This window comes from Homo sapiens, chromosome 3, assembly GCF_000001405.40.
Source record: "Homo sapiens chromosome 3, GRCh38.p14 Primary Assembly".
Lineage (NCBI taxonomy): Eukaryota > Metazoa > Chordata > Mammalia > Primates > Hominidae > Homo > Homo sapiens.
Window position 1 is genome coordinate 51,193,232 of NC_000003.12, and position 19,053 is coordinate 51,212,284.

Below are 19,053 nucleotides of genomic sequence, written 5' to 3' on the forward strand. Positions count from 1 at the left end.
ATGTTGAACCATTTTTGAATCCCTGGTATAAATGCAACTTGATCATAATGTATTAACTTTTTGATTGGCTCTTAGATTGTGTTTGCTAGTATTTTGTTTAGGATGTTAGCATCTGTGTTTACCAGGGATATTGACATATAGTTTTCGTTGTTGTTGTTGTGTTCTTGCCTGGTTTTGGTATCAGAGTAGTGATGATCTTGTAGGATGAATTAGAGAGAATTCTGTCCTTTTCAATTTTTGAAGTAGTTTCAAGACAATTGGTATTAGTTCTTTTTACGTTTGGTAGAATTTGGCTGTGTATCCATCTGGTCCTGGGCTTTTCTTTCTCAGGAGGCTTTTTAATTACTGATATAATCTTGCTATGCATTATTGGTCTATTCAGGGTTTTTCTTTCTTTCCAATTCAATCTTGATAGGTTGTATGTTTTTAGGAATTTATTTATTTTCTCTAGGTGTTTCAGTTTGTCAGCATGTAGTTGTTTATAATAGTCTCTAATGATTCTTTGCATTTCTGTAGTATCAGTTGTAATGTCTTCTTTGTTTTTTCTGATTTTATTTGGGGGCTTCTCTCTTTTTTTTTTTTTTTTCTTGGTTAGTCTAGCTAGCAGTTTATCAGTTTTGTTTATCTTTTTGAAGAACCAGCTTTTCTTTTTGTTGATCCTTTGTTTTGTTTTTCTTCAGTCTCTATTTCATTTTGCTCTTTTCTTCTGCTAGTTTTGGGTTTCATTTGTTCTTGCTTTTTTAGTTCCTTGAGATACATTGTTAGATTGTTAATTTGTAATCTTTCAACTATTTTATGTAGGCATTTATTACTATAAAATTCCCTCTTAGCACTGCTTTTACTATGTCCTACAGGTTTGGTATGTTGTGTTCCTGTTTTCGTTTATTTTGAGATTTTTTTTTATTTCCATCTTAATGTCCTTGGTGACCCAATGGTCATTTAGGAGTATGTTGTTTAATTTCTATGTATTTATGTAGTTTCCAAAGTTCCTCTTGGCTTTGATTTCTAGTTTTATTCCATTGTGGTTTGAGAAGATACTTGATATGATTTTGATTTTTTTAAGTGAGTTGAGGCTTGTTTTGTGGCCTAACATTTGGTCTATACTGGAGAATGTTCTTTGTGCTGATGAAAAGAATGTATATTCTGCAGTCGTTGGGTAGAATGTTCTGAAATGTCAGTTAGCTCCATTGGGTCTAAAGTGCAACTTAAAGCCAATGTTTCTTTGTTGATTTTTTTGTCTAGATTATCTGTGTAATGCTGAGAGTGGAATGTTGAAGTCCCCAACTATTATTGTTTTGCAGTTTATCTCTCTCTTTAGCTTTAATGATATTTTCTTTATGAATCCAGGTGTTCCAATGTTGGTTACATATATATTTAGAATTTTTTATCATCTTGCTGGATTGATCCCTTTATCATTATATAATGACCTTCTTTGTTTCTTTTTACTGTTCTTGACTTAAAGTCTGTTTTCTCTAGTATAAGTATAGTTATCCCTACTCGCTTTTGGTTTCTATTTGCAGAGAATATCTTGTTTTCATTTCTTTATTTTCATTTTCAGTCTGTATGTGTCTTTACTGCTAAGGTGAATATCTTTTTTTTTTTTTTTTTTTTTGAGACAGAGTCTCGCTCTGTCACCAGGCTGCAGTGCAGTGATGCGATATCGGTTCACTGCAACCTCTGCCTCCCGAGTTCAAGTGATTCTCTTGCCTCAGCCTCCCAAGTAGCTGGGACTACAGGCATGTGCCACCACACCCAGCTAATTTTTTTGTATTTTTAGTAGAGACGGGGTTTCACCATGTTGGCCAGGATGGTCTCGATCTCTTGACCTCATGATCCGCCCACCTTGAACTCCCAAAATGCTGGGATTACAGGCATGAGCCACTGCGCCTGGCCCGAGTTTTTTGTAAACAGCAAATAGTCGGATTGTGGGTTTTTAAAAATCTATTCAGCCATTCTGTATCTGCAAAGTGGAAAATTTAATCTATTTTTGATCAGTGTCATTATTGATATGTGGTGCTTTGTTTCTGTCATTTATTAATTGTTTTCTGACTTTTTTATATAATTTGGTTCCTTTTTCTTTTACTGGTTGTTGTGGTTTGCTGGACGTCTGCAGTGGTACCATTTGAGTTCTTTCTCTGTGTGATTACTTTGCCAAAGAGATTTATATTTTTGTATGTTTTCTTTTCTTTTTTTGTTTTTTTGAGACAGAGTCTTGCTCTGTCACCCAGGCTGGAGTGCAGTGGTGAGATCTCGGCTCACTGCAGCCTCCACTTCCTGGGTTCAACTGATTCTCCTGCCACAGCCTCCCAAGTAGCTGAGATTACAGATGCGTGCCATCACGCTCAGCTAATTTTTTTTGTATTTTTAATAGAGACGGGATGTCACCATGTTGGCCAGGCTAGTCTCAAACTCCTGACCTCAGGTGATCTGCCCGCCTCGGCCTCCCAAAGTTCTGGGATTACAGGCCTGAGCCACTGCGCCTGGCCATTTTGTGTATTTTCATCTTGGTAAATGTCATCCTTTCACTTCCAGGTTTAGGACTCTCATGAGAATTTTTTTGTAGGGCCAGTCCAGGGGCAATGAATCCCCTTAGTATTTGCTTGTCTGGAAAAGATTTTATTTCTCTTTCACTTATGAAGGATAATTTTGCATGTATAGCATTCTTAGCTGTCAGATTTTTTTTCTTTTATTCTTCCTTTTTTTGTTGTTTTTTGTTTTTTTTGAAACAAGGTCTCACTCTGTCACCCAGGTGGGAGTGCAGTGGTGTAAATACAGCTCACTGCAGCCTCAACTTCCCAGGCTCAAGCAATCTTCCTGCCTCAGCCTCCCATGTTGCTAAGACTTCAGGCACACTTCACCACGCCCAGCTAATTTTTTTTTTTTTTTCAAAGATTGGTTCTTGTCATGCTGCGTAGGCTGTTCTCAAACTCCTGGACTCAAGTAGGCCTCCTGCCTCAGCCTCCCAAAGTGCTGTGATTACAGGCATGAGCCACTGCATTTGGCCAGACTTTTTTCTTTTAGTTATTTAAATATATTATCCCATTCTCTTCTGGCCTGTGAATATGTGAATAGATGATTATCTCTTGCTGTTTTTGGGATTTGCTCTTCATCTTTGATTTTAGGCAGTCTAACTATAATGTGCTGTGGAGACGACCTTTTTGCATTGTATTTTCCCAGGGATTGCTGAGTCTCTTGTATCTGAAATGTCTAAATCTCTTGCTAGACTTGAGGTGTTTTCATTTTTGTTTGGTTAAATACATTTTCCAATCCTGTCTTTGTCTCTTTGAACTTGTGGATATTGATAATTTTAATATTTAATTGTCACAAAGGCTTTGCTCAGTCTTTTTTATTCCTTTTTCTTTATTTTTGTCTGACAGGATTATTTCAAAAGATTTGTATTCATGTTCTGAGATTCTTCTGCCTATTCTAGTCTATTACAGAAGCTTTCAAATGTAATTTGTAGTTCCTATAGTAAATTCTTCAATTGCAGAATTTCTATCTGGTGCTTTAAAAAACTATGTCTTTGGTAAATTTCTCATTCATATCCTGAATTGTTTTTCTGGATTCGCTTGTATCTCACTGAGCTTCTGTAAAATCAAAATTTTGAATTCTTTATCTGGGATTTCAAAAATTTCTTGGATTAAGATCTATTTTTGGATACTTATTATGTTCCTTTGGAAGTGTCATATTTCCTTGCTTTTTCATGTTTCCTGTGTCATTACATTGAAATCTGTGTATCTGGAGTAACAGTCACTTCTTCCTGTTTTTGAATTTACTTTAGTAGGGAAAGACCTTTTCCTAAAGATGTGTCTATGGTGTTGGTTGGGTAGGGTACTTTGGCTTTGACTCTGGTGTGTGCAGTAGTGTCATCTCTGTATGATTTCTTTGGCTGTAAACAGCATTAGTGGCATCTGTGATTTCCTGGATAGGTTACGGTACAGTTGTTAGTTAAGGCTGTGGGGAAGTTGTGCTGGGGACTAGGATGCCAGGTGGGCCAGTGATAGTGTCACTGGGCAGTGTACACTGGCAGCCATGTTGGCAATTATTGGTGGGTCAGTTGGTGGGCCTCCACATGGCTTGCTTAGATGCTGGTAGTGGCAGTGGTGGATTGCACAAGTGGGCAGAGTCTCAGGTTCCTGAGCAGCTACATGGCATGAGTGATAGCAGTAGCGGTAGTGGGACAACTCTCTGGGTCCTGAGTGATGTGCGTTGATGTTGGTGGTGGCTCTGATGGGCTGGGTAGCCCAATCTCCAGGAACTCGGGTGGCACATGCAGGCAGATGCCAGATGAAGTGATAGCAGCCAGGAGTTTAGGAGAAGTACTCAGGTGCCCAAAGTGGTTGTGTTGGGTATTTGCCAGGACCCTGGTCTGTGTTCTCTGTCACAGAGCAGAGAGTGAAGCTGGACTAGGTAGGCTCATGCTCAGACCTTCAAATGGTGAGAACAGCACCAGCCATCATGGACAGGGCACTCCGCAGGCCCCAGGTGGAGTGCTCAGGTGAGGGGTGTTAGCAGCTATGCTAACACCCTGTCACAATAGAGGGTGGGGTCATTCTTGGTGACCAGAGCCTGGGCCAGCGGGTGGGAATGCACATTCCTCACACCTTAGTCCCAATGGGGCTTGCTCCCTGGCCCTGGCAGGGGTAGCCCACCTCAGCTGCAGGAGCCCCACCCAACTGGTGATCAAGTCCCAGTGGCAAATTTTACCCCACTTGCATCCCAGTCTCCATCCTGGTGGCACTCACTTCTCAGCACCAACAGCTTCACCCCATGCCTTACTTGCTTCTTAGCTCTGGCTGTAGGTATGCTTCCAGCATACTCCCCAGTCCCATTAGCGACAGCTCGAGTTTCTGTCATGCCTCAGTCCTGGCACTACTGGGCTGCAGGACAGCAAGCAGTCTGCCAAAGGCTGCGTTTGAAAATGATGCCTTGCTCCTCAGACACTTCAGGGATGAGATGTCAGGGGAAGTTGGAGAAGCAAATAGACCCAGGAAAGTTATCCACCTCTTGGTGAACCTGCTTCTGCACCTTGCACACCTGCAGAACTGCTTAACCACGGGTGCTTTTCACTCTGTTCTCTTTACCTCCTTGTTCTGGGATTCAGGGACAATTCTTTGAACATGGTTTGTGAAGTGACAAAACCCAGCAGGGAAGAGCAGACAGGTCTGGCCTCATTTTCCCGCTTCCAGGATGTCCCAACATCTTCCTAGGGATCTCCCACTAACTTCAAGTCAAAGAGTGACAGAGACTGCAACAGAGCCACTTGGGCCTCTTAGAGCAGAGGATACAGAGCAGTGGGGTTTCTTTTGAATGTGATATTATTATTTATCATTCACTGACAGGTCACCAAAAAAAAAAAAAAAAACAGGGAAAGGGAGGGATGGAGCTAGTGAGACTATGACTAATACAATCTGTGTGCATTTCTGTGGGTTTGAAAACCCGCTTGCTCTTTATACGAATTCAAACTAAGGAATTGTGAGTAAGAATAGCTTTAGAAGGTGCACATCTAGGCTGTGTGTAGTGAGCCACTGCTCATGCCTGTAATCCTAGCACTTTGGGAGGCTGAGTCAGGCGGATCACTTGGGTCAGGGGTTCAAGACCAGCCTGGACAACATGGTGAAAGCCTGTCTGTACTAAAAATACAAAAATTAGCCAAGTGTGGCAGTGGGTGCCTGTAATCCCAGCTACTCAGGAGGCTGAGGCATGAGAATCGCTTGAAACCAGGGAGGTGGAGGTTGCAGTGACCCGAAGACGTGCCATTGCACTCCAGCCTGGGCAACAGAGGGAGACTCCGACTCAATAAAAGAAAAAAAAAGAGGGGAGGAGCCGAGATGGCCGAGTAGGAACACCTCCGGTCTACAGCTCCCAGCGTCAGCGACACAGAAGACGGGTGATTTCTGCATTTCCATCTGAGGTACCGGGTTCATCTCACTAGGGAGTGCCAGACAATGGGCGCAGGTCAGTGGGTGCAGCACACCGTGCGTGAGCCAAAGCAGGGCGAGGCATTGCATTACTCGGGAAGCGCAAGGGGTCAGGGAGTTCCGTTTCCTAGTCAAAGAAAGGGGTGACAGACGGCACCTGGAAAATCGGGTCACTCCCACCCAAATACTGCGCTTTTCCGATGGGCTTAAAAAACGACACATCAGGAGATTATATCCTGCACCTGGCTCGGAGGGTCCTACACCCACGGAGTCTCGCTGATTGCTAGCACAGCAGTCTGAGATCAAACTGCAAGGCGGCAGCGAGGCTGGGGGAGGGGCGCCCGCCATTGCCCAGGCTTGTGTAAGTAAACAAAGCAGCCAGGAAGCTCCAACTGGGTGGAGCCCACCACAGCTCAAGGAGGCCTGCCTGCGTCTGTAGGCTCCACCTCTGGGGGCAGGGCACAGACAAACAAAAAGACAGCAGTAACCTCTGCAGACTTAAATGTCCCTGTCTGACAGCTTTGAAGAGAGCAGTGGTTCTCCCAGCACGCAGCTGGAGATCTGAGAATGGGCAGACTGCCTCCTCAAGTGGGTCCCTGACCCCTGAGCAGCCTAACTGGGAGGCACCCCCCAGTAGGGGCAGACTGACACCTCACACGGCCAGGTACTCCTCTGAGACAAAACTTCCAGAAGAACGATCAGACAGCAGCATTCGCGGTTCACGAAAAACCACTGTTCTGCAGACACCGCTGCTGATACCCAGGCAAACAGGGTCTGGAGTGGACCTCTAGCAAACTCCAACAGACCTGCAGCTGAGGGTCCCGTCTGTTAGAAGGAAAACTAACAAACAGAAAGGACATCCACACCAAAAACCCATCTGTACATCACCATCATCAAAGACCAAAAGTAGATAAAACCACAAAGATGGGGAAAAAACAGAGCAGAAAAACTGGAAACTCTAAAAAAGCAGAGCACCTCTCCTCCTTCAAAGGATCGCAGTTCCTCACCAACAATGGAACAAAGCTGGTTGGAGAATGACTTTGACGAGTTGAGAGAAGAAGGCTTCAGACAATCAAACTACGAGCTACAGGAGGAAATTCAAACCAAAGGCAAAGAAGTTAAAAACTTTGAAAAAAATTTAGACGAATGTATAACTACAATAACCAATACAGAGAAGTGCTTAAGGAGCTGATGGAGCTGAAAGCCAAGGCTCGAGAACAACGTGAAGAATGCAGAAGCCTCAGGAGCCGATGCGATCAACTGGAAGAAAGGGTATCAGTGATGGAAGATGAAATGAAGCGAGAAGGGAAGTTTAGAGAAAAAAGAATAAAAAGAAACAAACAAAGCCTCCAAGAAATATGGGACTATGTGAAAAGACCAAATCTACGTCTGATTGGTGTACCTGAAAGTGACGGGGAGAATGGAACCAAGCGGGAAAACACTCTGCAGAATATTATCCAGGAGAACTTCCCCAATCTAGCAAGGCAGGCCAACATTCAGGTTCAGGAAATAGACAGAGAACGCCACAAAGATTCTCCTCGAGAAGAGCAACTCCAAGACACATAATTGTCAGATTCACCAAAGTTGAAATGAAGGAAAAAATGTTAAGGGCAGCCAGAGAGAAAGGTCGGGTTACCCACAAAGGGAAGCCCATCAGACTAACAGCGGATCTCTTGGCAGAAACTCTACAAGCCAGAAGAGAGTGGGGGCCAATATTCAACATTCTTACCGAAAAGAATTTTCAACCACAAATTTCATATGCAGCCAAACTAAGCTTCATAAGTGAAGGAGAAATAAAATCCTTTACAGACAAGCAAATGCTGAGAGATTTTGTCACCACCAGGCCTGCCCTAAAAGAGCTCCTGAGGGAAGCACTAAACATGGAAAGGAACAACCGGTACCAGCCGCTGCAAAATCATGCCAAAATGTAAAGACCATCGAGACTAGGAAGAAACTGCATCAACTAATGAGCAAAATAACCAGCTAACATCATAATGACAGGATCAAATTCACACATAACAATATTAACTTTAAATGTAAATGGACTAAATGCTCCAATTAAAAGACACAGACTGGCAAATTGGATAAAGAGTCAAGACCCATCAGTGTGCTGTATTCAGGAAACCCATCTCACGTGCAGAGACACACATAGGCTCAAAATAAAAGGATGGAGGAAGATCTACCAAGCAAATGGAAAACAAAAAAAGGAAGGGGTTGCAATCCTAGTCTCTGATAAAACAGACTTTAAACCAACAAAGATCAAAAGAGACAAGGCCATTACAATAATGGTAAAGGGATCAATTCAACAAGAAGAGCTAACTATCCTAAATATATATGCACCCAATACAGGAGCACCCAGACACATAAAGCAAGTCCTGAGTGACCTACAAAGAGACTTAGACTCCCACACATTAATAATGGGAGACTTTAACAGCCCACTGTCAACATTAGACAGATCAACAAGACAGAAAGTCAACAAGGATACCCAGGAATTGAACTCAGCTCCGCACCAAGCAGACCTAATAGACATCTACAGAACTCTCCACCCCAAATCAACAGAATATACATTTTTTTCAGCACCACACCACACCTATTCCAAAATTGACCACATAGTTGGAAGAAAAGCACTCCTCAGCAAATGTAAAAGAACAGAAATTATAACAAACTGTCTCTCAGACCACAGTGCAATCAAACTAGAACTCAGGATTAAGAAACTCACTCAAAACTGCTCAACTACATGGAGACTGAACAACCTGCTCCTGAATGACTACTGGGTACATAAAGAAATGAAGGCAGAAATAAAGATGTTCTTTGAAACCAATGAGAACAAAGACACAACATACCAGAATCTCTGGGACACATTTAAAGCAGTGTGTAGAGGGAAATTTATAGCATTCAATGCCCACAAAAGAAAGCAGGAAAGATCCAAAATTGACACCCTAACATCACAATTAAAAGAACTAGAGAAGCAAGAGCAAACACATTCAAAAGCTAGCAGAAGGCAAGAAATAACTAAGAGCAGAACTGAAGGAAATAGAGACACAAAAAACCCTTCAAAAAATTAATGAATCCAGGAGCTGGTTTTTTGAAAGAATCAACAAAATTGATAGACTGCTAGCAAGACTAATAAAGAAAAAAAGAGAGAAGAATCAAATAGATGCAATAAAAAATGATAAAGGGGATATCACCACCGATCCCACAGAAATACAAACTACCATCAGAGAATACTACAAACACCTCTACGCAAATAAACTAGAAAATCTAGAAGAAATGGATAAATTCCTCAACATATACACCCTCCCAAGACTAAACCAGGAAGAAGTTGAATCTCTGAATAGACCAATAACAGGAGCTGAAATTGTGGCAATAATCAATAGCTTGCCAACCAAAAAGAGTCCAGGACCAGATGGATTCACAGCCGAATTCTACCAGAGGTACAAGGAGGAACTGGTACCATTCCTTCTGAAACTATTCCAAACAATAGAAAAAGAGGGAATCCTCCCTAACTCATTTTATGAGGCCAGCATCATCCGGATACCAAAGCCTGGCAGAGACACAACCAAAAAAGAGAATTTTAGACCAATATCCTTGATGAACATTGATGCAAAAATCCTCAATAAAATACTGGCAAACCGAATCCAGCAGCACATCAAAAAGCTTATCCACCATGATCAAGTGGGCTTCATGCTGGGATGCAAGGCTGGTTCAATATACACAAATCAATAAATGTAATCCAGCATATAAACAGAACCAAAGACAAAAACCACATGATTATCTCAATAGATGCAGAAAAGTCCTTTGACAAAATTCAACAGCCCTTCATGCTAAAGACTCTCAATAAATTAGGTATTGATGGGACCTATCTCAAAATAATAAGAGCTATCTATCACAAACCCACAGCCAATATCATATTGAACGGGCAAAAACTGGAAGCATTCCCTTTGAAAACTGGCACAAGACAGGGATGCCCTCTCTCACCACTCCTATTCAACATAGTGTTGGAAGTTCTGGCCAGGGCAATTAGGCAGGAGAAGGAAATAAAGGGTATTCAATTAGGAAAAGAGGAAGTCAAATTGTCCCTGTTTGCAGATGACATGATTGTATATCTAGAAAACCCCATTGTCTCAGCCCAAAATCTCCTTAAGCTGATAAGCAAATTCAGCAAGGTCTCAGGATACAAAATCAATGTACAGAAATCACAAGCATTCTTATACACCAATAACAGACAGAGAGCCAAATCATGAGTAAACTCCCATTCACAATTGCTTCAAAGAGAATAAAATACCTAGGAATCCACCTTACAAGGGACGTGAAGGACCTCTTCAAGGAGAACTACAAACCACTGCTCAGTGAAATTAAAGAGGATACAAACAAATGGAAGAACATTCCATGCTCATGGATAGGAAGAATCAATACTGTGAAAATGGCCATACTGCCCAAGGTAATTTATAGATTCAATGCCATCCCCATCAAGCTACCAATGACTTTCTTCACAGAATTGGAAAAAACTACTTTAAAGTTCATATAGAACCAAAAAAGAGCCTGCATTGCCAAGTCAATCCTAAGCCAAAAGAACAAAGCTGGAGGCATCACGCTACCTGACTTCAAATTATACTACAAGGCTACAGTAACCAAAACAGCATGGTACTGGTACCAAAACAGAGATATAGATCAATGGAACAGAACAGAGCCCTCAGAAATAACTCCGCGTATCTACAACTATCTGATCTTTGACAAACCTGACAAAAACAAGCAATGGGGAAAGGATTCCCTATTTAATAAATGGTGCTGGGAAAATTGGCTAGCAATATGTAGAAAGCTGAAACTGGATCCCTTCCTTACACCTTATACAAAAATCAATTCAAGATGGATTAAAGACTTAAACGTTAGACCTAAAACCATAAAAACCCTAGAAGAAAACCTAGGCATTACCATTCAGGACATAGGCATGGGCAAGGACTTCATGTCTAAAACACCAAAAGCAATGGCAACAAAAGCCAAAATTGACAAATGGGATCTAATTAAACTAAAGAGCTTCTGCACAGCAAAAGAAACTACCATCAGAGTGAACAGGCAACCCACAAAATGGGAGAAAATTTTCACAACCTACTCATCTGACAAAGGGCTAATATCCAGAATCTACAATGAACTCAAACAAATTTACAAGAAAAAAACAAACAACCCCATCAAAAAGTGGGCGAAGGATATGAACAGACACTTCTCAAAAGAAGACATTTATGCAGCCAAAAAACACATGAAAAAATGCTCACCATCACTGGCCATCAGAGAAATGCAAATCAAAACCACAATGAGATATCATCTCACACCAGTTAGAATGGCAATCATTAAAAAGTCAGGAAACAACAGGTGCTGGAGAGGATGTGGAGAAATAGGAATACTTTTACACTGTTGGTGGGACTGTAAACTAGTTCAACCATTGTGGAAGTCAGTGTGGCGATTCCTCAGGGATCTAGAACTAGAAATACCATTTGACCCAGCCATCCCATTACTGGGTATATACCCAAAGGACTATAAATCATGCTGCTATAAAGACACATGCACATGTATGTTTATTGCGGCACTATTCACAATAGCAAAGACTTGGAACCAACCCAAATGTACAACAATGATAGACTGGATTAAGAAAATGTGGCACATATACACCATGGAATACTATGCAGCCATAAAAAAGGATGAGTTCATGTCCTTTGTAGGGACATGGATGAAATTGGAAATCATCATTCTCAGTAAACTATCGCAAGAACAAAAAACCAAACACCGCATGTTCTCACTCATAGGTGGGAATTGAACAATGGGAACACATGGACACAGGACGGGGAACATCACACTCTGGGGACTGTTGTGGGGTGGGGGTAGGGGGGAGGGATAGCATTGGGAGATATACCTAATGCTGGATGACGAGTTAGTGGGTGCAGCGCACCAGCATGTCACATGTATACATATGTAACTTACCTGCACATTGTGCACATGTACGCTAAAACTTAAAGTATAATAATAAAAATAAATAAATAAATAAATACAGTGAAAAAAAAAGAAAAAGAAGGTCCACATCTATCACCACAGTATGAGGTTTAAGGATTTAGAAAGCACTTTTACCTAAATATGCCTTTAATAACTACATCAGGTATAACACGAGGATGCTGCTAAAAGAATGGAAGAGTAAGATAGAGAGGCATGAAATGATGAAGACTTTGATGGGGTTAGGACTAAAGAGAATAATTTTAAAAACTGAACAATTGGCCCAGGTGTGGTGGCTCATGACTGTGATCTTAGCACTTTGAGGGCTAAGGCGGGAGGATCGCTTGAGTTCAGGAGTTCGAGACCAGCCTGGGCAACATGGTGAAACCTTATCTCTACAAAAAAAAAAAAAAGACAAAAATTAGCTCGGCATGGTGGTGTGTGCCTGTGGTCCCAGGTGCTCTGGAGACTGAGGTAGGGGGATCACCTGAGCCTGGGGAGGTGAAGGCTGCAGTGACCAGTGATTGTACCGCTACACTCCAGCCTGGGCGACAGTGAGACCCTGTATAGATCAGTTAATAGATAGATAGAAAGAAAGAATTCATTGTTAACAGCATATAGTATTTGAAAGCAAGTGCTGTATTAAGAGAATAAAAGGAAGCATTGGTAATTGAAGGTAAATTGATGCCTTTGTAACAATAACTTGGCAGTTCTGCAAAGCTAAATGTTTTTTATAGCCAGTCATGAGTAGACTGCAAAATTTCGAGAGTTCAGTCTTGGCAATCTGCAAATGAATCTGCATGACATTTGATTTCAAACAATCTTTCCTTTGAAGCTACCAGGAGTTTCTTTCAAGCATACTTCCAGCCATTGGTGCTCCCATCCTCCTTGACTCAAATAGGCACAAATATGACCATTCATTTTTCCTTTACTTTCCCCAGAAATGTGATTGTTTTCACTGCTCTTTTACTGTTTTCCTCTTAAGATAAATCTAGTAATGATTTCATAAGATGACCATAATGCAGAATGTTTTCCTCAATATCTGCCTTAGTGTAATGTAATTCTGATGCAGAATGATGGCAAAGTTTTAATTAGCAACATTTAAGCTATAAGAAATAACCAATTGACCTTGGCAATTATTCCATTTATTTGTTCAACAAATATTATATTAAGCACTTATTATGTGCTACAAGTTTTGCTACATGGTGGAGATGATTAGCAAGACACAGTCCTTATCATCTAAGGACTTGCAGTCGAGTGAAGTGACAAATAGGTGCCCTAAAATATAATAGGTATTCTTCTAGAAATCAGAATTCAGTGAAGACCCAAAAGAAGTAGTGGTCAGGTCTAAGGTAGGGATGTTGAGAATGGAGAATAATAGAGCAAGCTGGAAAGGATTCATAGAAAAGGCAATATTGAACTGAATCCTTTAAAAAAAAAAGAGAGAGACGGGGAAAGAAAGGCAAGAAATACCATTAATAAAGTAGAGTCTTTGTAGGCTTTTTCAATGTAAAAGAGATCTGAAGAGGTCAGAGAGGACCCTGATGAGACTGCCTTAAATGACTTGCTGAAAAGTTCGACCTCTAACCTGTGATGGGCATTAAGAAGGGTGGCCATATGACCAAATTGACATTCTGGAAAGCAAGATGTGTAAAAGGCCCATTAGAAGATTATTATACCGGTCCAGAAGAGAGATGATAATGACCAAACCAAGACAATGAAGAGGAGAAGTCAAATGTGAGATTTTATGATTGCAAAATCTGTAGGATATGGTGAATGCTGGAAGGGTATAGTGAACTACTGAGTTCCTCTCAGTGAGAGGGCATCTCTGGGTACAGCCAGGTTGGGGAGAAATGAATTTTCTTGGCCTTGTAGATCAGGAGCTTAGGATGAGTCTGGGCTAGAGACAATGCTTTGGAGCTTGGCAGCCTCTGGTAGTGGTTGAAGCTATGGGAATGGGTGAGATTGCCCAGGAAGGCTTGTAGGGTAAGAAGGAAATGGGCTGAAGGCAGAGCTGTGAAGGTCACAAATACGTAAGGGGTATGCAAGGGGAGAGGAATGGCAGGAACAGGCTGTCAGTTGTCTAGCAAATGAATTGTATGTGTTGGGTGGAGGGGTAGATGTGAGTGAAATAATGCAGATTGCCACTGTTGATAGGACTAACAAAGCTCCAGTTCCACCATACCACCAAGGTACCAGTGAGTATTTTATGGGAGAAAAACTGAAATTACCCCATTCAGTAGGGGAGGTAATTTTCAAGGCTTTTAATTTCCTGCTAAGTTGCTAAATCACAAGAGATTGTTTTAAAGGATACTCTTCCCTCTTTCCTTATTTGGAAGAAATTCTGTAGGCAGAAAGTTATTCTCAGAGCCCTGGGCTGTGAGAACCTCCTTTAACCATTCATCACAACAGCTCTGAGTAAATGAGATATATTTTTATGGCCAAGGAGTCCAAAGAGCCACTGACTGGGTAACAATTAATTAAGCTAGTAACTGACCTCCTTTATCTCTGAGTGGCCTCTATTCCAACCCTTTTTATTTAGAGACCTGAAATGCTTCATACTATTGGATGGCACATTCTATAACTCTTACTGGGGTCTCCTCCTGGAAGTGGCCATGCTGAACTGGACACATCTGAGTAATCCATGGAAAGTTCCATGGGTTCTCCTTTTTGCATGGGTCCTATTTTCTGGGATAGGTATATCCATACCTTCCTAACCAACAGGGGACGGGGTAGAACCAGGGCTGTGGGAACTCCCTAAGTGTCAAATGGAATTTTCAAGAGATGACCCTAATCTTTTTCCAATTGTTTTATCAAGGTGTCTGTACTAGGATAAGGAATTCCTAGTCTCTGTTCCTAAACTTTGTTCCAAATGGTTACGTGGTTGCAGTTCTCCGGGAATTGACCTTTAGAAGGAAGACACTAAAACATCAGAATGTGAGAGAAATGCACTGTTACTCCTCCATTATTTTGTCTCAATCCCATAGTTCCAAGGAAGGAGCTTTATTCCTAGGAAGAAACTTTATTCTTACACATTTAGGCATCCAGCTTTGTCTGCTAAGTCCTCCTTCCCCCTGACCACAGAAGACTTCATGGTAAATCAAGCCCACTGCTCTCACAAGCTTTTCTTAACTTGGTCTGGTTAAAACATAGCTTCATGCAAATAGTATCAACATTGCTTTTAGCTTAGCAGGGCTTTCCATTGGGGCCAGTCATAATGACAGTTGTATGACAGTAAAAAACCAATGCCATAGCAGTTTCTAAACAGTAGTACTTGTTGAGAGGAGATGTTTTTCCTCTATCAAGAACTTTCCTCTGGGGCCTGTTTATATGTCTGTGCACATGCATGCAACGGGTGATAGAAAAGAAACAACTTTTCATGTGGGATAGTGTTACTTCTGAGAGGAGGAATTTTGCCAATTAAATGTTTGTAGGGATTCATTTTAGAGTTTCTATCCTTTGCCCAAGTATGTGTTTTCTGCTTAATAGGAAATGAGCCTTGTTTAATTTAGTAAAACAGAACATCATTTCTTTAGGAAAGTGAGGGATCCTTTTCCCTTTGAACTTAAGTGTTACACATTGGAACATCAGACCAGTTGTTTAAAATACTTGAGTACCATAACACCTGTCCTTCTGTTACAGGTGCAACAACGAGAGTGAGTGGTCCCAGATCCACGAGAACATCATCCGAAAGTCCAGTGCCAAGTACTCTGCCCCCAGCGCCAGCCATGGTGAGATACTTCTCTGACTAGAACATTTTGTGTTACATTTGTAGTTGCTACTCATACAGCACTTAGATTGGTTGGTGCAGATTGGCTGCTGTATTCCCTACAGATATTTATTCTCCTGCCGAGGCATTTCCTACTCATTCTTTTTGTAATAATTTGAGGCCTTCCCTAATATCTGCTGACCAAAATACATTTTGTGTTTTTTCTATGATGAGTTCCATATGTGTTGATAGGTAACTCGAGTTCCAATTCAAATCCAGAGTGAGCAAAAATGTTGCAGGGTTTGTTACATTGTGAAGTCTATGTTTGCCTAAACAAAGATTATACTCAGCCAAATAAATACCTCTATCTCTATATAGCTAGATATCTATATAGATATAGACATCACACACTTCTCTTTCTATTTCTGAAAGACTGACCATAATGAGAATCAGTGATTAGTCTGCCAGTATCGGTCATTCTGAAACTAGAATGGAAAATCTTTATTTCAAAGAAGCTTCATCTTAGCTCAACTTCTCCTTTTCCTTTTCCCTTCCTTTCTGTAAAAACTCTGTTTAAATAATTTCTATATAATCTCAGTGCAGTTCTACATATTATATTGTTTTCTAAGTTCATTAATGCTTGATTAAATTAGAAGCATTATTTAAAAGCCTATATGCCTTTATAGACCCTTGCAGATAGCTATCTAATTTACGCAGAACCAGGTTACTCCTGACAGTTTTTACCTCTAAATCATTTTATAACCTCTTTTACATAATCTTCTTTGTTTTAACTTTCATAGACCTGTTGGAAATTATAAGTTGTCCTTAAATGACAGTGTAAAGTCACTGAGAGGCAAGCAGTTTCTAAAGAGTAGTACATGTTGTAGAAAACTTTGTTTTTTCTCTGTTGGGGTGAGCAGATACTCAACTAGGAGGATCCTTAGAGGAGATTCACACCAGAGGCTGCCAAGATTGAGACCTTCAGTTGTAACAACTTGATTCCTCTAAAACCCTAGTGGGGTTTTGGGGGATATCTCAGAGCCTCTCACTATTTTTAAATGACAGTATTCCCTTATACATGTGCCTGGATGCCAAGTAGCTCCATGCAGTGTGCTAAATCTAGGCTAAAGCAAGAGACAAATAAAATTTTGTTTTAAAAATATAGGAAAGTTACTAGCAATTTGGGAAACTACTATTCACATCAATATTTGTCATGTTCTTTGGTTTATTTACTTATCTGATTTATAAAGAGGTGCCCTTGACTACACGTTCGTGGGACATAATGTGATTAAAACATATAGAGAATATTTTAAAAGAGAGATGATAGTACTAATTCATGAAAGAGCAACTTCTACCATTGCTTCACCAGGTTAAGATGATGAGTTTTGTCTTGCTCCCCAGAGCGAGCAGGGACTGTGCCATATTCTGTGTCTGATTTTTGTCTAGAACTCACAGACACTTGCCATTTAAACAGTGTTAGAAAGATCTCACTGTGGGGCACCACAGACTTCAGAGAGCCTCAGTTAGGATGGCTGTAGTGAGAGGTGGTCTCTGTGTAGTTGTGGAAAAGTCAGTAGGAGGAACAGGCTGCTGCTTTTTGAAGTATGTTAGAAGCTAGTTGAGACCTTGGAAAACCTGTTTCAACCCCCTCGTTAAATAAATGAGGAAACTGAAACTCAGCAAAATGACTTAGTGGCTGAACAAGGATAGAACCCAGGTCTCCAGACTCCAGGCCTTTGGCCTTTCTACTCAGTTGCCAAGCTTCTGAGCATGAGTTTTCTACTGCTGGACTCTGGGGTCTTTGTGTCAGAGAATTTTATAGATTGCTCAAGGAATATTTCAGGTCTTTATTAGTCTGCTTAATTAAAGATACATCTTTATTAAAAATTAGTTTACTTTGCTATAAACTTTTACCCATCTTTGTTAGATATTGTGGACAGTTCATTGCCTTGCAGTTCTGTTTCAGAAGTCATTAGTGCTTTTCCTTCAAGTCACATAATTTAAAAATGCAGAAGCAATTGCTACATTGGGTTTGAGTGCTGAGAGTAAATGTATCATCCAGCAGCAACTCTTCTATGTGAACTTTAATAGATGTGGCTCTTCATTTCCATTGTTGGCCTTGGATATGTAGCTACAAACTGAACTTTTAACAGTTCCAGTAGTAGCATGAAGAGCATTAAGGACAAGTGAAGATAAAGCAGTTGACACACAAGTTTTCTGTTTATTTTAAAATGACTGTTAACTACAATTTATTTCCATATCTTGGGCTGACATTAATTTATATAATTAATCCTCATCCAGCATTTCCACAAGGAGGGGTGGGGGAGGTAGGGCACAAGAACAGAGTCAAGTTGGTACCCTGCAATATTTTACACAGGTGTTGATTTGTCCAGTTACTTTTTTTATGGGTCAGTCTTTAATCCAATAAGAGGTTCAGTAAGAAAATGGTTTTCTTGTGTCAGGTAATCAGTGAGACCAGATTAACAGAGAAATTGTATAGACTTTGTTATTTTCTTTCTTTTTTTTAATTTTTTTTTATTATTATACTTTAAGTTCTAGGGTACATGTGCACAACCTGCAGGTTTGTTACATATGTATACATGTGCCATGTTGGTGTGCTGCACCCATTAACTCATCATTTACATTAGGTATATCTCCTCATGCTATCCCTCCCCCAACCCCACAGCAGGCCCCGGTGTGTGATGTTCCCCTTCCTGTGTCCAAGTATTCTCACTGTTCAATTTCCCACCTATGAGTGAGAACATGCAGTGTTTGGTTTTTTTCCTTGCGATAGTTTGCTGAGAATGATGGTTTCCAGCTTCATCCATGTCCCTACAAAGGACATGAACTCATCCTTTTTTATGGCTGCATAGTATTCCATGGTATATATGTGCCATATTTTCTTAATCCAATCTATCATTGATGGACACTTGGGTTGGTTCCAAGTCTTTGCTATTGTGAATAGTGCCACAATAAACATACGTGTGCATGTGTCTTTATAGAAGCATGATTTATAATCCTTTGGGTATGTACCCAGTAATGGGATGGCTGGGTTGATTTGAGGGCCCCATTGAGATGATAGTCAGGTAGAACATCAAGTGTTGCCAAGGGACTGGGTGTTGCATACTGGGTGAGCGAGTGGGTCACTTTACTGAACTATTCATGAAGGCTCTCTTGTGCTCAGAATCATGCCTTAGCATTATTTGGTATGTGCTTCAGTCACCCAGGGTTTCAGAACTAGGAAGGAAACCCAGAAGTTCCAAGATCTCAACTCTACAAAAGGACATACAGCTTTTATAGCCTCCATTGGTGATTTCTTTCATTCTTTGCATGCCTTTTCATTTGATCTCTTGCATAAACTTGAAGGCTTTCTCTTATTTGTTATGTTTAGAAGTAGAGAGCAGCTCTTCAGGATCCCTTTGGGTAGCTCAAAAGCTAACTGTG

General features: G+C 40.8%; 1 protein-coding gene across 25 annotated transcripts in view; it reads left to right on the forward strand.

Moving 5' to 3' along the window:
* DOCK3 (dedicator of cytokinesis 3) overlaps positions 1-19,053 on the forward strand; it is a 709,272-nt gene that overhangs the window by 518,305 nt on the left and 171,914 nt on the right. For 24 of the 25 annotated variants that reach the window (XM_005264914.4, NM_004947.5, XM_006713010.4 and 21 more), the window contains one exon: positions 15,543-15,631. In XM_005264914.4, coding sequence (XP_005264971.1) covers positions 15,543-15,631 — 89 coding nt within the window. Of the gene's footprint in view, positions 1-12,472; positions 14,838-15,542; positions 15,632-19,053 lie in introns of those variants that run through there. The other variant, XM_011533441.4, reaches the window with a different exon arrangement.